The 20,802-nt window shown below is 41.1% G+C and overlaps 1 protein-coding gene across 11 annotated transcripts in view; it reads left to right on the forward strand.

Moving 5' to 3' along the window:
- The window catches only part of AGBL1 (AGBL carboxypeptidase 1), a 951,857-nt gene that overhangs the window by 62,700 nt on the left and 868,355 nt on the right, over positions 1–20,802 (forward strand). For all 11 annotated transcript variants that reach the window (XR_007064423.1, XR_931751.4, XM_011521227.4 and 8 more), the window contains exons 3-5: positions 1,380–1,526; positions 12,111–12,242; positions 16,614–16,707. Coding sequence is in view for 9 of the 11 variants with exons in the window: in XM_011521227.4 (XP_011519529.1) it covers positions 1,380–1,526; positions 12,111–12,242; positions 16,614–16,707 (373 nt within the window). In the remaining 2 variants the exon portion in view is untranslated. The remainder of the gene's footprint in view (positions 1–1,379; positions 1,527–12,110; positions 12,243–16,613; positions 16,708–20,802) is intronic.

Genomic DNA, 20,802 nt, shown 5'->3' on the forward strand with positions numbered 1-20,802 from the left:
CTACCCCTCTTCTCGCCCTGCTCGCTTCCATTGTGACCTATTTAAGAGAGCTGAGTATCAGAAGCTGCTTTGGCTATTTGAAGTAGAGGCAGGAATATCAGGCAGAAGCTGAACTTGAAAGCATGTAAGCATCACGTTTTCAGAGATAAGATAACAGAGTTGACTACATTGGAATCAACTGGATTAACTGGAGCATGCTTCTATTCGCTCAAGTTCTTACTGAGATTTTTGAACATTCCAACATTCACTCAATTTGCATTTTTATGTATGCTTGCCTCATTACTTTAGAAAGAAATATTAACACTGAACAGGCAATATCAGAAATAAATGACACTCCAGACCCATAGATCCTCAGGATTATGGTTTCAAGAGGAAGGGGCCCATTGTATTGGGGTCTTTCCATGGTTTGTGCTGCGTTCCACTGGCAGGATGACTTACATTTAGTCTTTCACGTGGGGCCTGTGTAAGTGAAGTCACTCGTCTTCTGGGATAGTGCTGTCTTACATTTGTCCAGAGGTGTCTGAAACTCTTAAGACAAAACCTTGAAGTTCTCCCTCTGATAAGGTGGTGATTACTTTGCCTCTTGCAGAGAATGCTACTTTTCATTAGGACAAAAAATCAGATGGTCGTCTTTGATAATGTACCACCCTGTTGGCCACCTTGGTTAAGTCAACTTTGCCCCGTACATAGAGAGAATCAACCAAGGCCAAGTTGTAATGAAATCGTTGCTTTTGAGTTTGTCCTTGGGCAAGGTGGAGGAGGTCCCTGTTCAAAATTGTACTTAGGTAGAAAGACCAATAGTTCGTCATAGCTCTAGACTGTCTTCAAAATTCCCTAGATAGGATGATTGGATGTTTCTTTCTCAAGGGACTACTGCAGTGGTTTCTGTAATTTTCTTCCATCAATTTCTGAAGGCTAGCATCAGAAAATCATTATGCCATCAATACAATGATTCCAGATTAGGCCATCATCCCAATCCTTGTTACAGAAGATTCAAATGTATAGCAGAGGGATACTGATATTCTCTCTTCTAAGTATATGATTATTCAAAAGCCCATATGCATATTTACATACATGTACACACATGTATACATACATATACTGAATATTCAACAGAATCTCAGATAAGCTCTATTTATTACAGCTGTTGCAGCTGAACACAACTAGGTTCTTAAATATTCCACTATTTTCCTATTTCACAACCCTCTTCCCTTAACTGATAGTACAACTTTAACACAGGTTGCTTCAAGAACTACATAATTTTACGTAGTTGAAATGAACTAATTCTTGCTCTGTCTCTAGTTGGGAGGTCTGTCTTCTGCTCCAAGGAAAATGGGGATTATTACTTGTGGCTCATCTTTCCTCCGGTTTCCCCTCAGGCACAGACCGGAGAATTCACTACATGATCAGCAAGGGTGGCAGTGAAGCTCTTCTGCAGACCCTGGTAGACACAGCGAGGACAGCTCCTCCAGACTATGACATCCTCCTGCCTCTCTTCCGGCTGCTGGCCAAAGTTGGCCTAAGAGGTACTCGTACTCCAAGACCTAAAGCTGACTGAAAAGGCACTTCTAGGGTTGTTATCATGAGTGCAATTTGGGAAGCTTTGGTGGAGTAGCACAGGGAGAAAGCGTCAGGGAGGTTCTGGACAACTTGATGGTGATGGCAGGACCAGCCCCATAGGAGAGGCCATTTTGTTGACTTTGATGTCAGCTCATCCAAGGTATGGTGCTCAGGACAGAGCCCAGAACAAACATGGGCTACATGGGGCATGGATAATATGGGGGAAAGGAGGGGAGATACTCCAATGCAGTTTTTAATTATTTTAAAAATAAATGGAACATGTCTAAAAGTTGCATCACAAGGTTGTGGAGAAAAAGGAACACTTATACACTGTTGGTGGGAGTATAAGTTAGTTCCACCATTGTGGAAAACAGTGTGGTGATTCCTCAAAGACCTAAAGACAGAAATACCATTCGATCCAGCAATCCCGTTACTGGGTATATACCCAAAGGAATAGAAATAATTCTATTATAAAGACACCTGCATGCATTTGTTCATTGCAGCACTATTCATAATTACAAAGACACGGACTCAACCTAAACGCCCATCTAGACTGGATAAAGAAAATGTGGTACACATACACCATGGAATACTATACAGCCATAAAAAAGAATGAGATCATGTCCTTTGCAGGGACATGGGTGGAGCTGGAGGCCATTATCCTTAGCAAACTAAAGCAGAAACAGAAAACCAAATACCTCATGCTGTCACTTACAAGTGGGAGCTAAATGATGAGAACATATGGACACACAGAGGGGAACAACACACACTTGGGCCTGTCAGAGGATGGAGGGTAAGAGGAGGGAGAGGCTTAGAAAAAATAACTAATTGGTACTAGGCTTAATACCTGGATGCTGAAATAATCTGTACAACAAACCCCCATGACACAAGTTTACCTATGTAACAAACCTGCACATTTACCCTTGAACTTAAAATAAAAGTTAAAAAAATAAAGTCTATAATATAAGTGTCCTAGTTTCCTAGAGCTGCCATACGAATTGCCACAAACTGTTTAGCTTAACGTAACAGAAGACTGTTAGGAGGTCAGAAGTCCAAAATCAAGGTGTTGGCAGGGTTGGTTCCTTCTGGAGTCTCTGAGGGAGAATCGGTTCCATGCCCCTCTCCTCTGAGGGTTGCCAGAAATCCTTGGTGTTTCTTGGACTATAGATGCATCACTCTGATCTCTGCCTCCATCTTCACGTGCTGTTCTCCTCTGTATCATTTCCTCTTTGTGTAAGGACATCAGTCATAGGATTTAGGGCCCACTCTAATTTGTAATAAAATCTGCAAAGATTCTGTTTCCCAAAAGAATAACATTCTGAGCTTCTGGGTGGACATGAATTTTTGGGGGCCACTATTCAATCCACTACAAGTCACACAGAAGTGGAACATTCCTAGTTGAAGGGAAGATGGAAGAAGGGCCTAGAGTTCTTTCCATTTAGGCTCCATAGTCATTTCTCTTTCACCAAGGAAAACCCTGAAACATTTCCCTAAAACTCTAGAAGTTCTTGGAGCACAGTTTAAAAGCATGGGCACTCAGGACTCATGCAGACATTGCAAACGAGTCACAAGTGTTAAGTTCTAATTGTGTGCTGAGTCTTATATAGGTCACAGCTGAGAAGCTCAGATCCTCTGAAAAGTGGGCCTTTGATGTCCAGTGCTATCAGTGGCAGCCAAATGCCCAGGGGGTCTGGAGCACTCTTCCTTCCAATATTTGGATCTCCACGCTGAGTCCATTCAACATGCTGCTGATAATGATGGAGAACTAGGCTTTTGCCAACACCTGCATGAGCGTGTCCCAGAAAAAATCAATACAATTCGTTTGGTGAATATTCAACAGATATTTACTGCATGTCTCCTAGGGCCAGGTGCTTTAGGCACTAGGAACACCATGATGACCAAGGCAGTTAAGGACCTGCTCTCATGGAACTTATGTTCAAGTGGAGAAGGCCAGCAAATCAACAAATAACTTGATGATAGCAGACTATGATGAGGGCTGTAAGAGGAAGCAAGAGTGATGCTACTTTAGACTGGCATGGTCAGGAGAGGTGACATTGGAGCTAAAACTTGAAGAATGAGAAGTCAGTAAAGCAAAGAGTGAGCCAGGTGGACTCCAGGAAAGGACCACAGAGACTTGATATATACCTCGGTCATAAACGGTATAAGCTGGAGAGTCAGACATGGGTTTCAGGCCTGGCCCTGACACTTATTAGCTGTGTGACCTTGGGCAAAGTACTTAAACTTTCTGAGCTTTGTGCCCTTATGTATAAAATAGAGCTATCTGTATAGTTGGTCTTCCATTTCTGTGGGTTCTGCACCCATGGATTCAGTTAACCTTGGATTGAAAATATTTTTAAAAATTTTATCTGTACTAAACATGTACAAACTTTTTTCTTGTCATTATTCCCTAAGCAATACAGTTTAACAATGATTTACATAGCATTTACATTAGATTAAGTATTATAGTAATCTAGAGATGATGTAAGGTCTGAGGATGTGTGTAGATTATATGCAAATACTACACCATTTTATATCAGGGACTTGAGCATCTGTGGATTTTGGAATCTGTGGGAATCCTGGAACCAATCCCACGTGGACACTGAGGGATGACTCTACTTAATTCCAGGGTGCTGTGAGGATTAAACAAAGTATTGCATGTCACATGCTTATCATATGTTCAGTGCCCTGGCAAACTAGGGTCATACAGGTTTTATAGGAGAAAGAGAGAGATGAGAGATACACCAGGCCAGTGATTTCCAAGTTATTCACCTTGATATTACTATTGTAGTGATTACATCACCACAGTTTCTGCCATCAAGGGGTTATAGTCCTTGACACTGACATTCAAGTTGCCATGGGCTGACCTGAACAGAACAGAAATGAGGTTGGCTGCTCATGAAGGAATGGGATAGATATCTCTTTTCTGATGAAGGGAATGGGTTATGTAGGTTTAGTTACAACCTCTTTGCTGGTGTCCTTTAGTCCAGAGGTACATATCAGTAAACGAGGTTTAGGATTTTATTTCTGTTTTACTCATTTCTACCTCCGATAAATCTGATAGTGATGTATTCTTGCAAAAAGAAACAGGATGATTTAGACATCACCCATTGACAGGTATCATAGTGGGGGCAAAGAACAGAAAATAAGTATTTCTTTTTTAATGCTTATTTTCTAATTATTAAAATAATGAGGACTATTTGTAACACTAGCTGTCAGGTTATTTGGAACAGTAATGTAGAAATATTAGAGGGGAAATAGGGGGCATTCCAAGATGGCCCAATAGGAACAGCTCCGGTCTGCAGCAACTAGCGTGACTGACGCAGAAGATGGGTGATTACTGCATTTCCAACTGAGGTACCGGGTTCATCTCACTGGTGCTGGTTGGATAGTGGGTGCAGCCCATGGAGGGCAAGCTGAAGCAGGGCAGGGCGTCGCCTCACCTGAGAAGAACAAGAGGTTGGGGGATTTCCCTGTCCTAGGTGAGGGAAGCCCTGACAGACTACCTGGAAAAATGGGGGCACTCTCACTTAAATACTGCACTTTTCCCAAGGTTAGCAACCTGCAGACAATGTAATTCTCTCCTGTGCCTGGCTTGGCAGGTCCCACACCCACGGAGCCTTGCTCACTGCTAGCACAGCAGTCTGACATCAATCTGTGAGGCAGCAGCCTGGCTGGGGGAAGGGTGTCCGCCATTGCTGAGGCCTGACTAGGTAAACAAAGCCGGGAAGCTCCAACTGGGTAGAGCCCACCATAGCTCTTCAAGGCCTACTGCCTCTAGACTCCACTTCTATCGGCAAGGCATAGCTGAACAAAAGGCAGCAAACAACTTCTGCAGACTTAAACATCCCTGTCTGACAACTCTGAAGAGAGCAATGGTTCTCCCAGCACAGTGTTTGAGCTCTGAGAACAGACAGACTGCCTCCTCAAGTGTGTCCCTGACCCCCATGTAGCCTAACTGGGAGACACCTCCCAGTAGGGGCCGACTGACACCTCATGTAGGCAGCTGCCCCTCTGGAATGAAGCTTCCAGAGGAAGGATCAGGCAGCAATATTTGCTGTTCTGCAGTATTTGCTGTTCTGCAGCCTCTGCTGGTGATACCCAGGCAAACAAGGTCTGGAGTGGAACTCCAGCAAACTCCAACAGACCTGCAGTTGAGGGACCTGACTGTCAGGAGGAAAGCTAACAAACAGAAAGGAATAGCATTGATATCAACAAAGATCATCTACACCAAAACCTCATCTGTAGATCACCAACGTCAAAGACCAAAGGTAGATAAAATCAGAAAGATGGGGAGAAACCAGAGCAGAAAAGCTGAAAATTCTAAAAATCAGAGCATCTCTTCTCTTCCAAAGGATTGCAGCTCCTTGCCAGCAACAGAACAAAATTGGATGGAGAATGACTGATGAGCTGACAGAAATGGGCTTCAAAAGGTCGGTAATAACAAACTTTTCTGAGGTAAAGAAGGATGTTCGAACCCATTGCAAGGAAGCTAATCTTGAAAAAAGATTAGGCGAATGGCTAACTAGAATAAACAGTGTGGAGGAGACCTTAAATGACCTGATGGAGCTGAAAAACATGGCACAAGAACTTCGTGACACATGCACAAGCTTCAGTAGCCAATTCGATCAAGTGGAAGAAAGGGTATCAGTGACTGAAGATCAAATTAATGAAATAAAGTGAGAAGACAAGGTTAGAGAAAAAAGAGTAAAAAGAAATGAACAAAGCCTCCAAGAAATATGGGACTATGTGAAAATACCAAATCTACATTTGACTGGTGTACCTGAAAGTGATGGGGAGAAAGGAACCAAGTTGGAAACCACTCTTCAGGATATTATCCAGGAGAACTTCCCCAACCTAGCAAGGCAGGCCAACATTCGAATTCAGGAAATACAGAGAACGCCACAAAGATACTCCTCGAGAAGAGCAACCCCAAGACACATAATTGTCAGATTCACCAAGGTTGAAATGAAGGAAAAAGTGTTAAGGACAGCCAGAGAGAAAGGTCAAGTTACCCACAAAGGGAAGCCCATCAGACTAACAGCGGATCTCTTGGCAGAAACCCTACAAGCCAGAAGAGAGTGGGGGCCAATATTCAACATTCTTAAAGAAAAGAATTTTCAACCCAGAATTTCATACCCAGCCAAACTATGCTTCGTAAGCAAAGGAGAAATAAAATCTTTTACAGACAAGAAAATGCTGAGAGATTTTGTCTCTACCAGGCCTGCCTTACAAGAGCTCCTGAAGGAAGCACTAAACATGGAAAGAAACAACCACTACCAGCCACTGCAAAAACATGCCAAATTGTAAAGACCGTTGATGCTAGGAAGAAACTGCATCAATTAACGGGCAAAATAACCAGCTGACATGATAACGACAGGATCAAATTTACACATAATAATGTTAACCTTAAATGTAAATGGGCTGAATGCTCCAATTAAAAGACACAGACTGGCAAATTGGATAAAGAGTCAAGATCCATCAGAGTGCCATATTCAGGAGACCCATCTCACATGCAAAGATGCACATAGGCTCAAAATAAAGGGATGGAAGAAGATCTACCAAGCAAATGGAAAGCAAAAAAAAGCAGGGGTTGCAGTCCTAGTCTCCAATAAAACAGACTTTAAACCAACAAAGATGAAAAGAGACAAAGAAGGCCATTGCATAATGGTAAAGGGATCAATTCAACAAGAAGAGCTAACTCTCCTAAATATATATGCATCCAATACAGGAGCACCCAGATTCATAAAGCAAGTCCTTAGAGACCTACAAGAGACTTAGACTCCCACACAATAATAATGGGAGACTTTAACACCCCATTGTCAATATTAGACAGATCAATGAGACAGAAGGTTAACAAAGATATCCAGGACTTGAACTCAGCTCTGCAGCAAGCAGACCTAATAGACATCTACAGCACTCTCCACCCCAAATCAACAGAATATATATTCTTCTCAGCACCACATCACATTTATTCTAAAATAGACCACATAATTGGAAGTAAAGCACTCCTCAGTCAATGTAAAAGAACAGAAATCACAACAAACTGTCTCTCAGACCACAGTGTAATCAAATTAGAACTCAGGATTAAGAAACTCACTCAAAACCGCACAACTACATGGAAACTGAACAACCTGCTCCTGAATAACTACTGGGTACATAACGAAATGAAGGCAGAAATAAAGATGTTCTTTGAAACCAATGAGAAAAAAGACACAATGTACCAGAATCTCTGGGACACATTTAAAGCAGTCTGTAGAGGGAAATTTATAGCACTAAATGCTCACAAGAGATAGCAGGAAAGATCTATAATCAACACCCTAACATCACAACTAAAAGAACTAGAGAAACAAGAACAAACAAATGCAAAAGCTAGCATAAGGCAAGAAATAACTAAGATCAGAGCAGAACTGAAAGAGATAGAGACACAAAAAACCCTTCAAAAAATCAATGAATCCAGGACCTGTTTTTTTGAAAACATCAACAAAATTGATAGACCACCAGCAAGGCTAATGAAGAAGAAAAGAAGAATCAAATAGATGCAATAAAAAGTGATAAAGGGGATATCACCACCAATCCCACAGAAACAGAAACTACCATCAGAGAATACTATAAACACCTCTACACAAATAAACTAGAAAATCTAGAAGAAATGGATAAATTCCTGGGCACATACACCCTCCCAAGACTAAACCAGGAAGAAGTTGAATCTCTGAATAGACCAATAACAGGCTCTGAAATTGAAGCAATAAATAGCCTACCACCAAAAAAAGTCCAGGTCCAGATGGATTCACAGCCAAATTCTACCAGAGATACAAAGAGGAGCTTGTACCATTCGTTCTGAAACTATTCCAATCAATACAAAAAGAGGCAATCCTCCCTAACTCATTTTATGAGGCCAGCATCATCCTGATACCAAAGTCTGGCAGAGACACAACAAAAAGAATTTTAGAACAATATCCCTGATGAACATTGATGCAAAAATCCTCAATGAAATACTGGCAAACCGAATCCAGCAGCACATCAAAAAGCTTATCTCAATGATAGACTGGATTAAAAAAATGTGGCACATATACACCATGGAATACTATGCAGCCATAAAAATGATGAGTTCATGTCCTTTGTAGGGACATGGATGAAATTGGAAATCATCATTCTCAGTAAACTATCGCAAGAACAAAAAAACAAACACCGCATATTCTTACTCATAGGTGGGAATTGAACAATGAGAACACATGGACACAGGAAGGGGAATATCACACTCTGGGGACAGTTGTGGGGTGGGGTGGGGGAGGGATAGCATTGGGAGATATACCTAATGCTAGATGACAAGTTAGTGGGTGCAGCGCACCAGCATGGCACGTGTATACATATGTAACTAAGCTGCACATTGTGCACAAGTACCCTAAAACTTAAAGTGTAATTAAAAAAAAAAAAAAAAAGCTTATCCACCACAATCAAGTCAGCTTCATCCCTGGGATGCAAGGCTGGTTCACCATACACAAATCAATAAATGTAATCCATCACATAAACAGAAGCAAAGACAAAAACCACATGATTATCTCAATAGATGCAGAAAAGGCCTTCAACAAAATTCAGCCCTTCATGCTAAAAACTCTCAATAAACTAGGTATTGATGGAACATATCTCAAAATAATCAGAGCTATTTATGACAAACCCACAGCCGATATCATACTGAATGGGAAAAAACTGGAAACATTCCCTTTGAAAACCAGCACAAGACGAGTATGCCCTCTCTCACCACTCCTATTCAACATAGTGTTGGAAGTTCTGGCCAGGACAATCAGGCAAGAGAAAGAAATAAAGAGTATTCAATTAGGAAAAGAGGAAGTCAAATTGTCCCTGTTTGCAGATGACATGATTGTATGTTTAGAAAACCCTATCATCTCAGCCCAAAATCTCCTTAAGCTGATAAGCAACTTCAGCAAAGTCTCAGGATACAAAATCAATGTGCAAAAATCACAAGCGTTCCTATACACCATTAACAGAGAGCCAAATCATGAGTGAACTCCCATTCACAATTGCTACAAAGAGAATAAAATACCTAGGAATCCAACTTACAAGGGATGTGAAGGACCTCTTCAAGGAGAACTACAAATCACTGCTCAGCGAGATAAAAGAGGACACAAACAAATGGAAGAACATTCCATGCTTGTAGATACGACAAATCAATATCGTGAAAATGGCCATACTGCCCGAAGTAATTTATAGATTCAATGCCATCCCCATCAAGCTACCAATGACTTTCTTCACAGATTGGAAAAAACTATTTTTAAATTTCATATGGAATCAAAAAAGAGCATGCATTGCCAAGACAATCCTAAGCAAAAAGAATAAAGCTGGAGACATCATGCTACCTGACTTCAAACTATATTACAAGGCTACAGTAACCAAAACAGCATGGTACTGGTACCAAAACAGATAGACTAATGGAACAGAACAGAGGACTCAGAAATTACACCACACATCTACAACGATCTGATCTGTGACAAACCTGACAAAAACAAGAAATGGGGAAAGGATTCCCTATTTAATAAATGTTGCTGGGAAAACTGGCCAGCGATATGTAGAAAGCTGAAACTGGATCCCTTCCTTAAACCTTGTACAAAAATTAATTCAAGATGGATTGAAGACTTAAATGTTAGACCTAAAACCATAAAAACCCCAGAAGAAAACCTAGGCAATACCATTCAGGACATAGGCACGGGCAAGGACTTCATGACTAAAACACCAAAAGCAATGGCAACAAAAACCAAAGGAAACACATGGGATCTAATTAAACTAAAGAGCTTCTGCACAGCAAGAGAAACTACCATCAGAGTGAACAGGCATCCTACAGAATGGGAGAAAAATTTTGCAATCTACCTATCTGACAAAGGGCTAATCCAAAGTCTACAAAGAACTCAAACAAATTTACAAGAGAAAAACAACCCCATCAAAAAGTGGGCAAAGGATATGAACAGACATTTCTTAAAAGAAGACATTTATGCAGCCAACAGACATGTGAAGAAAATGCTCATCATCACTGGTCATCAGAGAAATGCAAATCAAAACCACAATGAGATACCATCTCATGCCAATTAGAATGGTAATCATTAAAAAGTCAGGAAACAACAGATGCTGGGGAGGATGTGGAGAAATAGGAATGCTTTTACACTGTTGGTGGGAGTGTAAATTAGTTCAACCATTGTGGAAGACAGTGTGGTGACTCCTCAAGGATCTAGAACTAGAATTACCATTTGACCCAGCAATCCCATTACTGAGTATATACCCAAAGGATTATAAATCATGCTACTATAAAGATACATGCACACATATGTTTATTTTGGCACTATTCACAAAAGCAAAGACTTGGAACCAACCCAAATGTCCAACAATGATAGACTGGATTAAGAAAATGTGGCACATATACCCCATGGAATACTATGCAGCCATAAAAAAGGATGAGTTTATTTCCTTTGCAGGGACATGGATGAAGCTGGAAACCATCATTCTCAGCAAACTGTCACAAGGACAGAAAACCAAACACTGCATGCTCTCACTCGTAGGTGGGAATTGAACAGAGATCAGTTGGATACAGGGCAGTGAACATCACACACCGGGGCCTGTCGTGGGGTGGGGGGCAGGGGGAGGGATAGCATTAGGAGAAATACCTAATGTAAATGACGGGTTGATGGGTGCAGCAAACCAACACAGCACATGTATACATATGTAACAAACCTGCACGTTGTGCACATGTCCCCTAGAACTTAAATTATTTTTTAAAAAAGAAAGAAACATTAGAGGGGATAATTTTATTTTCTTAACAATGTCTTTTGACTTTTTATTATGAAAACTCTCTCTCATGTAGAGAGATGGCCTATTATATACCTAAAACTTAGTTCTAACCAATGTTAACATTTTGCCGTATTTTCTTCACCTATTTATTTTTATCTGAAATATTTTAAGAGAAATTGCAGGTTAGCATTTTCTTCCTAAATCCTTTCAAGTGCATTTCTTTGAAAAGAGACATTTCCCTACATAATCACAATACCATTATTACAAACCTAATAAAATTAAAAATACGTGTGTAATTTATATTCATTCCAATTTCTCCAAATGTTCCCAACTGTCTTTTATAGACATAGTCAAAGCAAGATCCAATCCAAGTTGACATACTACATTTGAATGTTATATTAAGAATTATATTAATATTAAGAATATTCAATATTCTTAATTCTAGAATCGTCTTAAAGGAACAACTTTATTCCCAATTGAACTGTGGTTAATGTATGAGGACAACCTAAATATAGGGGCTTGAGAGTTATTCAACCCACAAGCTTCCATGTAAATATGTGTAGCCTGAATTAGCTCTTTTGATTCATTTGGTTCTAGTGGGGACATATTTAGCAGCATTTGTCACTAGGTCTGAAAAATGTCTTTGGCTATGATTATCCTCCTCCTTCACCATCTTCCCCTTCCTCCACTGTACTCATTGTACAATCCAGAATCAATGTGAAGTGCAACTAAGATAGATTGATTTGTGTTCTTAGATAAAAAGATTGGACGGAAGGCCCTAGAATTGGAAGCACTTGATGTGACATTGATTCTGGCCAGGAAGAACCTATCCCATGGCCAGAATCTCCTCCACTGTCTCTGGGCTCTGCGTGTGTTTGCCTCCAGTGGTAAGTGACTCTATTGTGGCTCTCGGGGATGGCTTCCAAACCTGGGCTGGGACACATGGAAACTGCATGAGGGTCTGGTTGGAAGAAAAGCATGGGTGAGAGATACACATGGTGGTCCCAGCCAGATAAATAAAAGAGACTGACAATCCAGAGGCTGTGGAGGTGAGAAGTTACTTCATCATCTTCTCCTTAGCTGGGTAGAGCTCTTGAGTCTGCTCCTAGAGATGGACTTCAATATTGTTTCTCCTTGGCAGTTACACATTACAGCATTGTAGGCTTTTCTATTCGTACTACAAGGTAAAAAAAGGTCTGTGACAGGAGAAGGGCAGACTTTATTTAGTCCTTGTCACATTCAAGTGTTATATCTGGGCAGAATGACTCTCACATCACAAATCTCCCTACCATATTCCTGAAATTACTCATTGATTACAACATCCCTTACCATTTAAAAAAACCCATGATCCTTCTCAACAGGGTCCTCCAGGTAATTATTAGGAACATCATTGCTCAGTTGATATTTATTTGCTATCTCTTGATTTGACTTATTTCTAATTATCATAGTAATTTTGTATTTAGACCCATAATTTTATAGTTTTGAAAAAGAAACTTTAAAGAGTAAAGCAGGGCCAGGCATGGTGGCTCACGCCTGTAATCCCAGCACTTTGGGAGGATGAGGTGGTCAGATCGCTTGAGCCCAGGCATTTGAGACCAGCTTGGTCTCTGCTAAAAATACAAAAACTTAGCTGGGCATGGTGGCATGTGCCTATAGTCCCAGCTACTTGGAAGGCTGAGGAAGGAGAATCACTTGAGCCCAGGAAGTCATGGCTGCAGTGAGCATTGATTGTGACCCTGCACTCCAGCCTGGGTGACAGAGTGAGACCTTGTCTTAAAAAAATAAAAAAAGTGAAGCGATTGCTTGAATTCATACAGATAAAAAGTCAGGAGGGTGGAATTTCTAACTCCAGAGCTCATTTTAATTCTATTCCATATGGAAACTTTTTATTAATACGTTAGATCCTATACCTTCTATCTGATATGTAATGAGCATAGACTTTCATTTCTCCTTTCCGAGTTCCCTTCCTATGAAATGAAAGTGACAATTATTTAGAGGTTATATAGTTGATAGGGGAAAGAACGTGGGCTTAGAGCCAAAAAGACCTGAGTTTGACTGTGGTTCTTTTTTTAATGAGTCATAAAGCATGAATACTTACCCTGTTGAACCTCAGTTTCATCCTTTACAAAATTACAGTAGTAATAATGATTACCATTACTCTGCTAGGGCTGCCTTAATGCCTTAACAAAATATCACAGTCTATGTGGCTTAAACAAAAGAAATGTATTTTCTCACTTTATTTTTTTAATTTTTTTTTATTTTTTTGAGATGAAGTCTCACTCTTTTGCCTAGGCTGGAGTGCACTGGTGTGACCTTAGTTCACTGCAATCTCTGCCTCCCAGGTTCAAGCAATTCTCTTGTCTCAGCCTCCCGAGTAGCTGGGATCACAGGGACCTGCCATCATGCCTGGCTAATTTTTATATTTTAGTAGGGACAGGGTTTCACCATGTTGGTCAGACTGGTGTCGAACTCCTGATCACAGGTGATCTGCCCATCTTGGCCTCCCAAATTACTGGAATTACAGGCGTGAGCCACCATGCCCTTTTTTTCTCACATTTTTGAAGGCTACAATTTGGAGCTCAGGATGTCGGCAGATTTGGTTTCTACTGGCCCCTCTCTTTGGCTTCCAGATGGCTGGCTGCTCCCTGTGTCCTCACAAGGTCTTTCTTCTATGCTTGGGCATCCTTGATGTTTCTTTGTGTGTCCAAATTCTCCCTTCTTATAAGGACATAAGTCCACATTAGACTAGGACCCACCTTAATGGCCTCATTTTAAGTTCCCTCTCTAAAGGCCCTATCTCCAGATACAGTCCTACTCCGAGGTACTGAAGATTAGGGCTTCAATGTATGAATTTAGGAGTGGACACAACTAGCCATAATGGAGCTCATAGACTTGGTAGATGGGGTGAATGGGAGAATGTTCATGGGCATGTTCGTCACATGGCAACTGCTTGATAATTGCTAGTTTCTCTTCCCCGCCCTATGCTTTTCCCTTAGTCTTTTGAAATAGTAGAATGAGTACAGATATGGGGAGTTAATAGGTGACTTTTTATTTCTAATTACCCCAAGAACTACTAAAATGCCTGATTTTTTTTCTTTTCTTTCTTTTTTCTTTTCTTTCTTTTTTTTTTTTTTTTAGACAGTCTCGTTCTGTCACCCAGGCTGGAATGTAGTGGCATGATCTTGGCTCACTGCAGCCTCTGCCTCCTGGGTTCAAATGATTCTCGTGCCTTAGCCTCCCGACTAGCTGGGATTACAGTTGTGCACTACTACACCTGGCTAATTTTTGTATTTTTAGTAAAGACGGAGTTTCACCATGTTGGCCAGGCTGGTCTTGAACTCCTGACCTCAGGTGATCCACCCACCTCAGCCTCCCAAAGTGCTGAGATTATAAGTGTGAGCCACTGTGCCTGGCCACAATAACCTGATTTTCATTGGTAAATTCTCTTAATAAACATGGAGGATTCATAAAAAGAAGGTATTTCTGGGGGAATAATGGGATAGATGCTTGAATCCTTGTTCACAGATGGAGCCTCTACTCACCTATCTCCCGTATATTGACCTGAACACCAGAGAGCATTAGGGAAAGGCTGAGTAGATTTGCATACACCCATCTCTAATAAAGGAAAAGAGGAACTGTGGCTTTATATAAAGGACAACTCTCATTAATGAATAGACAGAAGGTGTGCCACCCACATTTGCAGTGTGCCAGCAGAGCGAAATTTGAAGCATTTCCTGGTTTCCTAAAGCATAAATAGGCTGAAAAACTTGCCTTCCTTAAATATAATGGTTATGGAGATTTAGAAAAATTCCTTCAGCTGAGTTCTGAGAAGTCCTGGGATTTTCCTGTGGGTATGAGGAGGTGGCTATCTGATTCATCTTCTAAGCCTACGTTGATTGTACCAACTCACTGTTCCATAAGGTATTTAAAAAAATTATACTGTCACTCTCCATACATTCACTTTACTGATGAGAGGTAAGCAGAGTTCAAGAAGCCTGCGGATTACTATCTTTTCCGTCAATTGTTAGCCACTGTTGAATGTTCCAGCAAAGCTTTCTAAACAGCTCCTATCTTCAGAAGGAGTTGGCTGGAACCCTAATGGGTCTGTGAGAGCCAATGAACCCTTTGGAAGTTCTCAGATGGCCAATGAGGATGTTCACAGAGCTGCCGGAGCTCTAACCTCGGACAGGCATCCACAAAAGTGAACTCAGTGAGGATTTCTTATTGTTATCCTCTTCCAATTTCAAGCCTAAAATCTTCCATGTTAGAATCAGTGCTTTTAAAATTAACTCCTCCCTTACTCAATACCAGAATTTTTTTTAATTACTTGCCAAGAGTTTTCTCTAGTCTGTTTTCCCAATTCGGAAGTAAGAGCTGAATGAGTAGCCACAAGAGTGGAAGATTGATGGGCAGGACTAGGATGCCAAATCTCTGAATTTTGATCCAGGCAATTACTTCATGTACTAGCCTCAGGAGGGACATATGCATGGACGATGTTCCAGGAACATGCACTCTGCAATAGCAAAGACATCAGCCTCAGTCTCTATCTGAAAGACTGTAGTGAGATGAGGAAGCTTCAGATTTCCATTTAGCTTCCTTTCCTGAGGGTTGGAGCAATTCAGTATCATCCACCCTTGTTTCCCTCTCTTTGCTTCTCTAAGACCTCTTGTTCCCACTCACTTTTCTCAGATCAAGGCTAGCCTAAAGCACAAGGCATTCATAGGTCTTTGTCTTAAAAACACAAGTCCAGTGGAGGAAAGACAGACGAGAGTGTCTGTGGACTCCTCTTATTTTCTGACATGAGCAGAGCTCTACCTAAAGTGATCTAAGTGGAATAGGGTACTGGGAATGTTGGAGAGACGCTGGGGCATCCTTGGAGACAAGAGTAATATCCAAAAGTTGTATTTACCTAACCAGATACCTCTTTGGAGTTTCTTTCTATCATTCAGATCTATGAAAATGTTTTGATAATCACCCAATTGGCCAAAAAGGCAAAAACTTCCCAGTCTAGTTACTGCTGAGCAGGAAGAACTGATTCTTCATTTGACATTCTAGTTGCGGCACAGTCAAGTCATTACCTTAGTCATGGGAGACCCGAGAATGACATTATAGAGGAATGTGCAACCAGGGTGGAAAAGAAAGGGAGCTATCTTGTTTATCAAGTTGCCCCTTAAAGATTTAAAGGAGTCAATCCAAGTTGTCTTGAGCCTTAACTCATCCACTTGTGACCATAACTACTGTGCTTTTGTTTTTCTTAGTCTCCATGGGAGCCATGCTGGGAATTAATGGAGCCATGGAACTGCTTTTCAAGGTTATTACTCCTTACACCCGAAAGCGCACCCAAGCAATCAGGTACAGAGTGCCATGTAATACTTCTGCCCCTTTTGTAACAGATGGAGAGATGGAGATTGCCCTACATGTATTTTCATGATGCTTCCAGCTCAGTTTAGTGGTCATTTCTCCTTTGGAAATATGGTACCATGTCTTTATCCTTTCTCAGTTTACATCCCTCCACACCCATGAGTCATTTCCTCTAATTCTCATCAAAACCCTGAATGGGTATATTATTATTCTCTTTTTCAGACGAGCAAGTTAAAATATGTCGAGAGCCTTATCCAAGGTCCCTGTGGTAGCAAATAGTAGAGTTGAGATTTGATTCCAGATCTTTCAGACTCGAAACCTCATGTTCTTTTTGCCTGAAGCCCTCAGGTATATACTTTTTACTCGCAGCAAATCTACCATAAATAAATATAATCCTCAAAAGACATTTCATAAATGACAGGGTCTCTAAAGAGACAGCCAGTTAAACTTCTGGCATGAGTTCTGGGCCTTATAATAGTCCATCATGGTCATGTGCTAGTCTTGAGATGTATTTTTATGATTGGAAAATGAAACTCAGCCTGTTCTCCCTGCCTCTGCTTGCTGGAGTGGAGTGAATCATCAAGTTAAAAAGGGAGATGGTTAGACATGAAGGCTTTAGAGATATTCGGGACTATTAAGATCTATCATTTATGGGAGTGACTCAGCGAGGACCTTGAAAGAATATTAGAAGAAATTCAGCCAATTTCCAAGATAGATGGGATCATTTGGCAAGTAACATTTCCATGCCCAACCATGATATTTTCTGCATCTCAGCGTCAATCTTAGCCTCATATTCCACCTGATTATTTTTCTCTTGGGTCACTACAGTTATGCCATTATCATCCATTCTCACCTGCAGCTCTCTACACCAAGCATTTCGTAGAGTGAAATACATTATATCTCAGTGAAAAAAAATTCTCATCCAGTAAGTTGAGAAATACTGGATTGAATGCTGGTTTCTTTACTGTAAGACTTCTCAGAGCCTTTGTAAAGCCAATACATATTGAGAATATCTGTTATTTAGTATACCCTGATCCAAAATTGATTTAGTCAGGGAACTGTGGTTTTTTTTTTTTTTTTTTTTTGAGATCACCTTTTTTAGGGGAAGGAGGGGTCAGTGTTCTATGTCTCTCATTTTGGAAACATCTTCTCCAGGGTGTGAATTTATTGCAAGGTGGAATTCAATTAAATTCTGCTAAGAACCCTCATCTAGTAGGTAAAAAACTTCAAAATAAAAAACTCAGGGACCAAAAAAATTTATTTTCTATGATTATATTTTACTCTGTCTTAAATTTACATTTATGTCAGATAACAAGAAATATAAACCAGTGTCTTATCAGGAATCTAAGTCAAATTAGTGAGTCTTTGGTTCATCCAGGGATTTCACTCTTCTCCCCCCACTTCCTGGGGTACATCTGAGTTCTAAGAAGCCATGGTAGTGCTGGGGTGTTGATGGAAAAACACAGACTGTCCTCAATCATCTCATGTCCATTTGGACATATATATGACTTGGATATGTCTCATTTTTATCATTGTGTGCAGGCCTTTGCTGCTGACATCTGCAGTCTCAACATGTTCTTTGGTTACCAATCTATGAACTTTATCTTTCTGCCCTATTCACAAGGCTTCTTCTAATCTGATGCTGTCATAATTCAGCTGTTCAGAAGGTCAGGAATATCTGGTTTCTTCCTTTAGATTATGTGCAAATCTTTGTGATATTTGCTGGGCTCATCCACATACGGGTCTCACTCAGTCTTCTCCTCTGCCACTTGGGTACCATGTTGTTTGGAAGGCTCCCCTAGGAAGCTCTTCCCACATAGCCATGGGTATCAAGGCACTAGGTCTCTTCCTTCTGGGGTGCTCACATAGCTTTTATTGTCTTCCTCATTCAGGCCAAACTTGTGGGGTAGCGGGGAGAAATCAACAAAGCATAGAAACCTCTTCCTCAGAGACTCACACTAGTTGCCATTTTTAATGCTTTCTTTTCCTCCTGCAAAGGGAGTTGAATTCAGGCACAGATCTGATCAAAGTGTCAGAGGCAAGTGGGAAAGTAATACCAGGGATTAAGGGAGTGAGAGTAGGGTGCTCCCAATCACAAAAGGAGCCTTCCAGGGATTCCAGGCATATTTCTACATGTCTGATTTGTTTTGTAAATTTTGGGCAAGATGGTTTTCCTTCTTCAGTCAAATGCCATATTAAAACCAAACCTCTGTAGGAAAGAGGCTTTTCCACCAACCGTTACAATATAGCTGTCATTGGCATGGTGTTTATGAGGTGCCCTGCACTGTGCTAAGCTCTTAGCATGCATTACTTCCTTTGAGCCTCTCATCTGCTCTGCAAGGCGGGTGCTATTATTGCCCCCAATTTTACCGGAAAATAAATTGAAACTGAAAGAAGTTAAGTAACATGCTGGGTTTTAAGTGAGAGAGCTGGGATTTAAACCCTGTCTGATACATGAGCCTCAGCTCTTAAGCCACCACTGGCGTATCTTATACAGTCTATTTCCAGCATTTTATTTCTACAACCATCATATGTAAGACGATCATATGCAGTTAAAGTTTGCTTAAATTTCTTTTCCATCTAAATGGCTTATACCCATGGAACAATTTGCTTAATGATAGAGGAGTCTTACTCCTCCATCAGTTGGCTATTTCCTCTCAAAGGCTAAATATCTATTCCCTCTGCTTTTGAATTCTTTCCCAAAGCTACCTTGTTTTCTATCTTATCCTTACTCATCAACAGCAAGATAAGAACAAAGGTAATGAAATTGGAAGACCTGCTCTGTAAGCCTCCTTCTACCAGATTCCTTGGCGAGTCATTTAACTTTTCTTAACTAAACTTTGACATTTCTTAAAGCATGAATGTCAAGTCTTACCTCCTAGGTTTATTGTGGGCAATAACAAATAATGTGTAAAGACATCGTGTGCTTTGACATGCTATGACATTGTTAATCATTATTAATACAAATACTATGGGATGTCTGGTTGCCTGCTGCAGATCAGATGGCAGAGGCTGGGGAAGAGTCTGGAGATGAGAACGTCCTGCCAATTTCCATCTTTCACAAACTCCATCCTGAGAATAGTAACTAAGACATACCCAAATGAATTCTACTCAAGCCATTTGGTTGACAGAACCTGTGGGCTCAAGGGGGGTCTTGCAGGGAAGGGATAAAGTCGCATGTCAGGGGGCATGGATAGCTCTACTAAGTATCATCCTCCAAATGCTAGCATGCTATGGGAGAGTTATTCCGGGATGCCTTTGTAGGAGCAGATGCCCAGTGTTGTGTCATGATGACTCCTCCCTCCTGTGGAGATTAGACCTGCCCTACTTCTCTAGCAGGAACCTAAAATTAGATGTGCAGCTGTCCTCCAATGAAGCTCTGTCTCCAGATAGTACTCAGGGCAAGATTTACAACAGAAGCTCCAACCACATACTTGCTAGAGAGAAGGGACATGAAGAGCAATGTCACTAACCCTCTGTGGCCTTGTGCCAGCCCTCAGCCCAGGGCAGGCAGCTATTTCAGGCCTCCTCCACTTCCCAAATACCCACCATGCTGCACACACTTGTGTTGGCTTGTGCCAACTTCCTTCCTTCGGCTCCTCATGAGTCCCATGCTAGTGGGAACAGTTATGGTCAGACTTAAACTGCTATGATAGCCCTCTAGTTGGTCTCACTTCACTTCAAAGCCATCAGGAATGTGCCTCAGCTTCCCTTTCCAGAGTGGTTTCTCATTCCTGCTCTCATCTCGCTTTCCAGCCAGCTATCTCTGAGTGTGGCATTCCCTCTTCTTCCCCAGGTCTCTCCCTTCCTCTGGAATGCCATGCTGCCTTGTGCAGTGGTAGAAGTCTTACCCAGTCTCCAGACTTCACTGGATGCCACCTGCTCCATTTCATCAGAGAAAAGGAATCTACTCTCCTCAAACATCCTCCAGAGATTTGTTCAGACCTTCTTTCGACATGCATTCTATTGGACTCTGTACTATATTGGCCTGGGTGTCTTTTCTCCTCCCTAAATTCTGTACTTCCTAAAGTAGAAATCAAATTATATGTATCTTGTTATTTTCCATTCCTCCTAGCCCAGCGCCTA

Source organism: Homo sapiens, chromosome 15 (assembly GCF_000001405.40).
Source record: "Homo sapiens chromosome 15, GRCh38.p14 Primary Assembly".
Taxonomy (NCBI): Eukaryota; Metazoa; Chordata; class Mammalia; order Primates; family Hominidae; genus Homo; species Homo sapiens.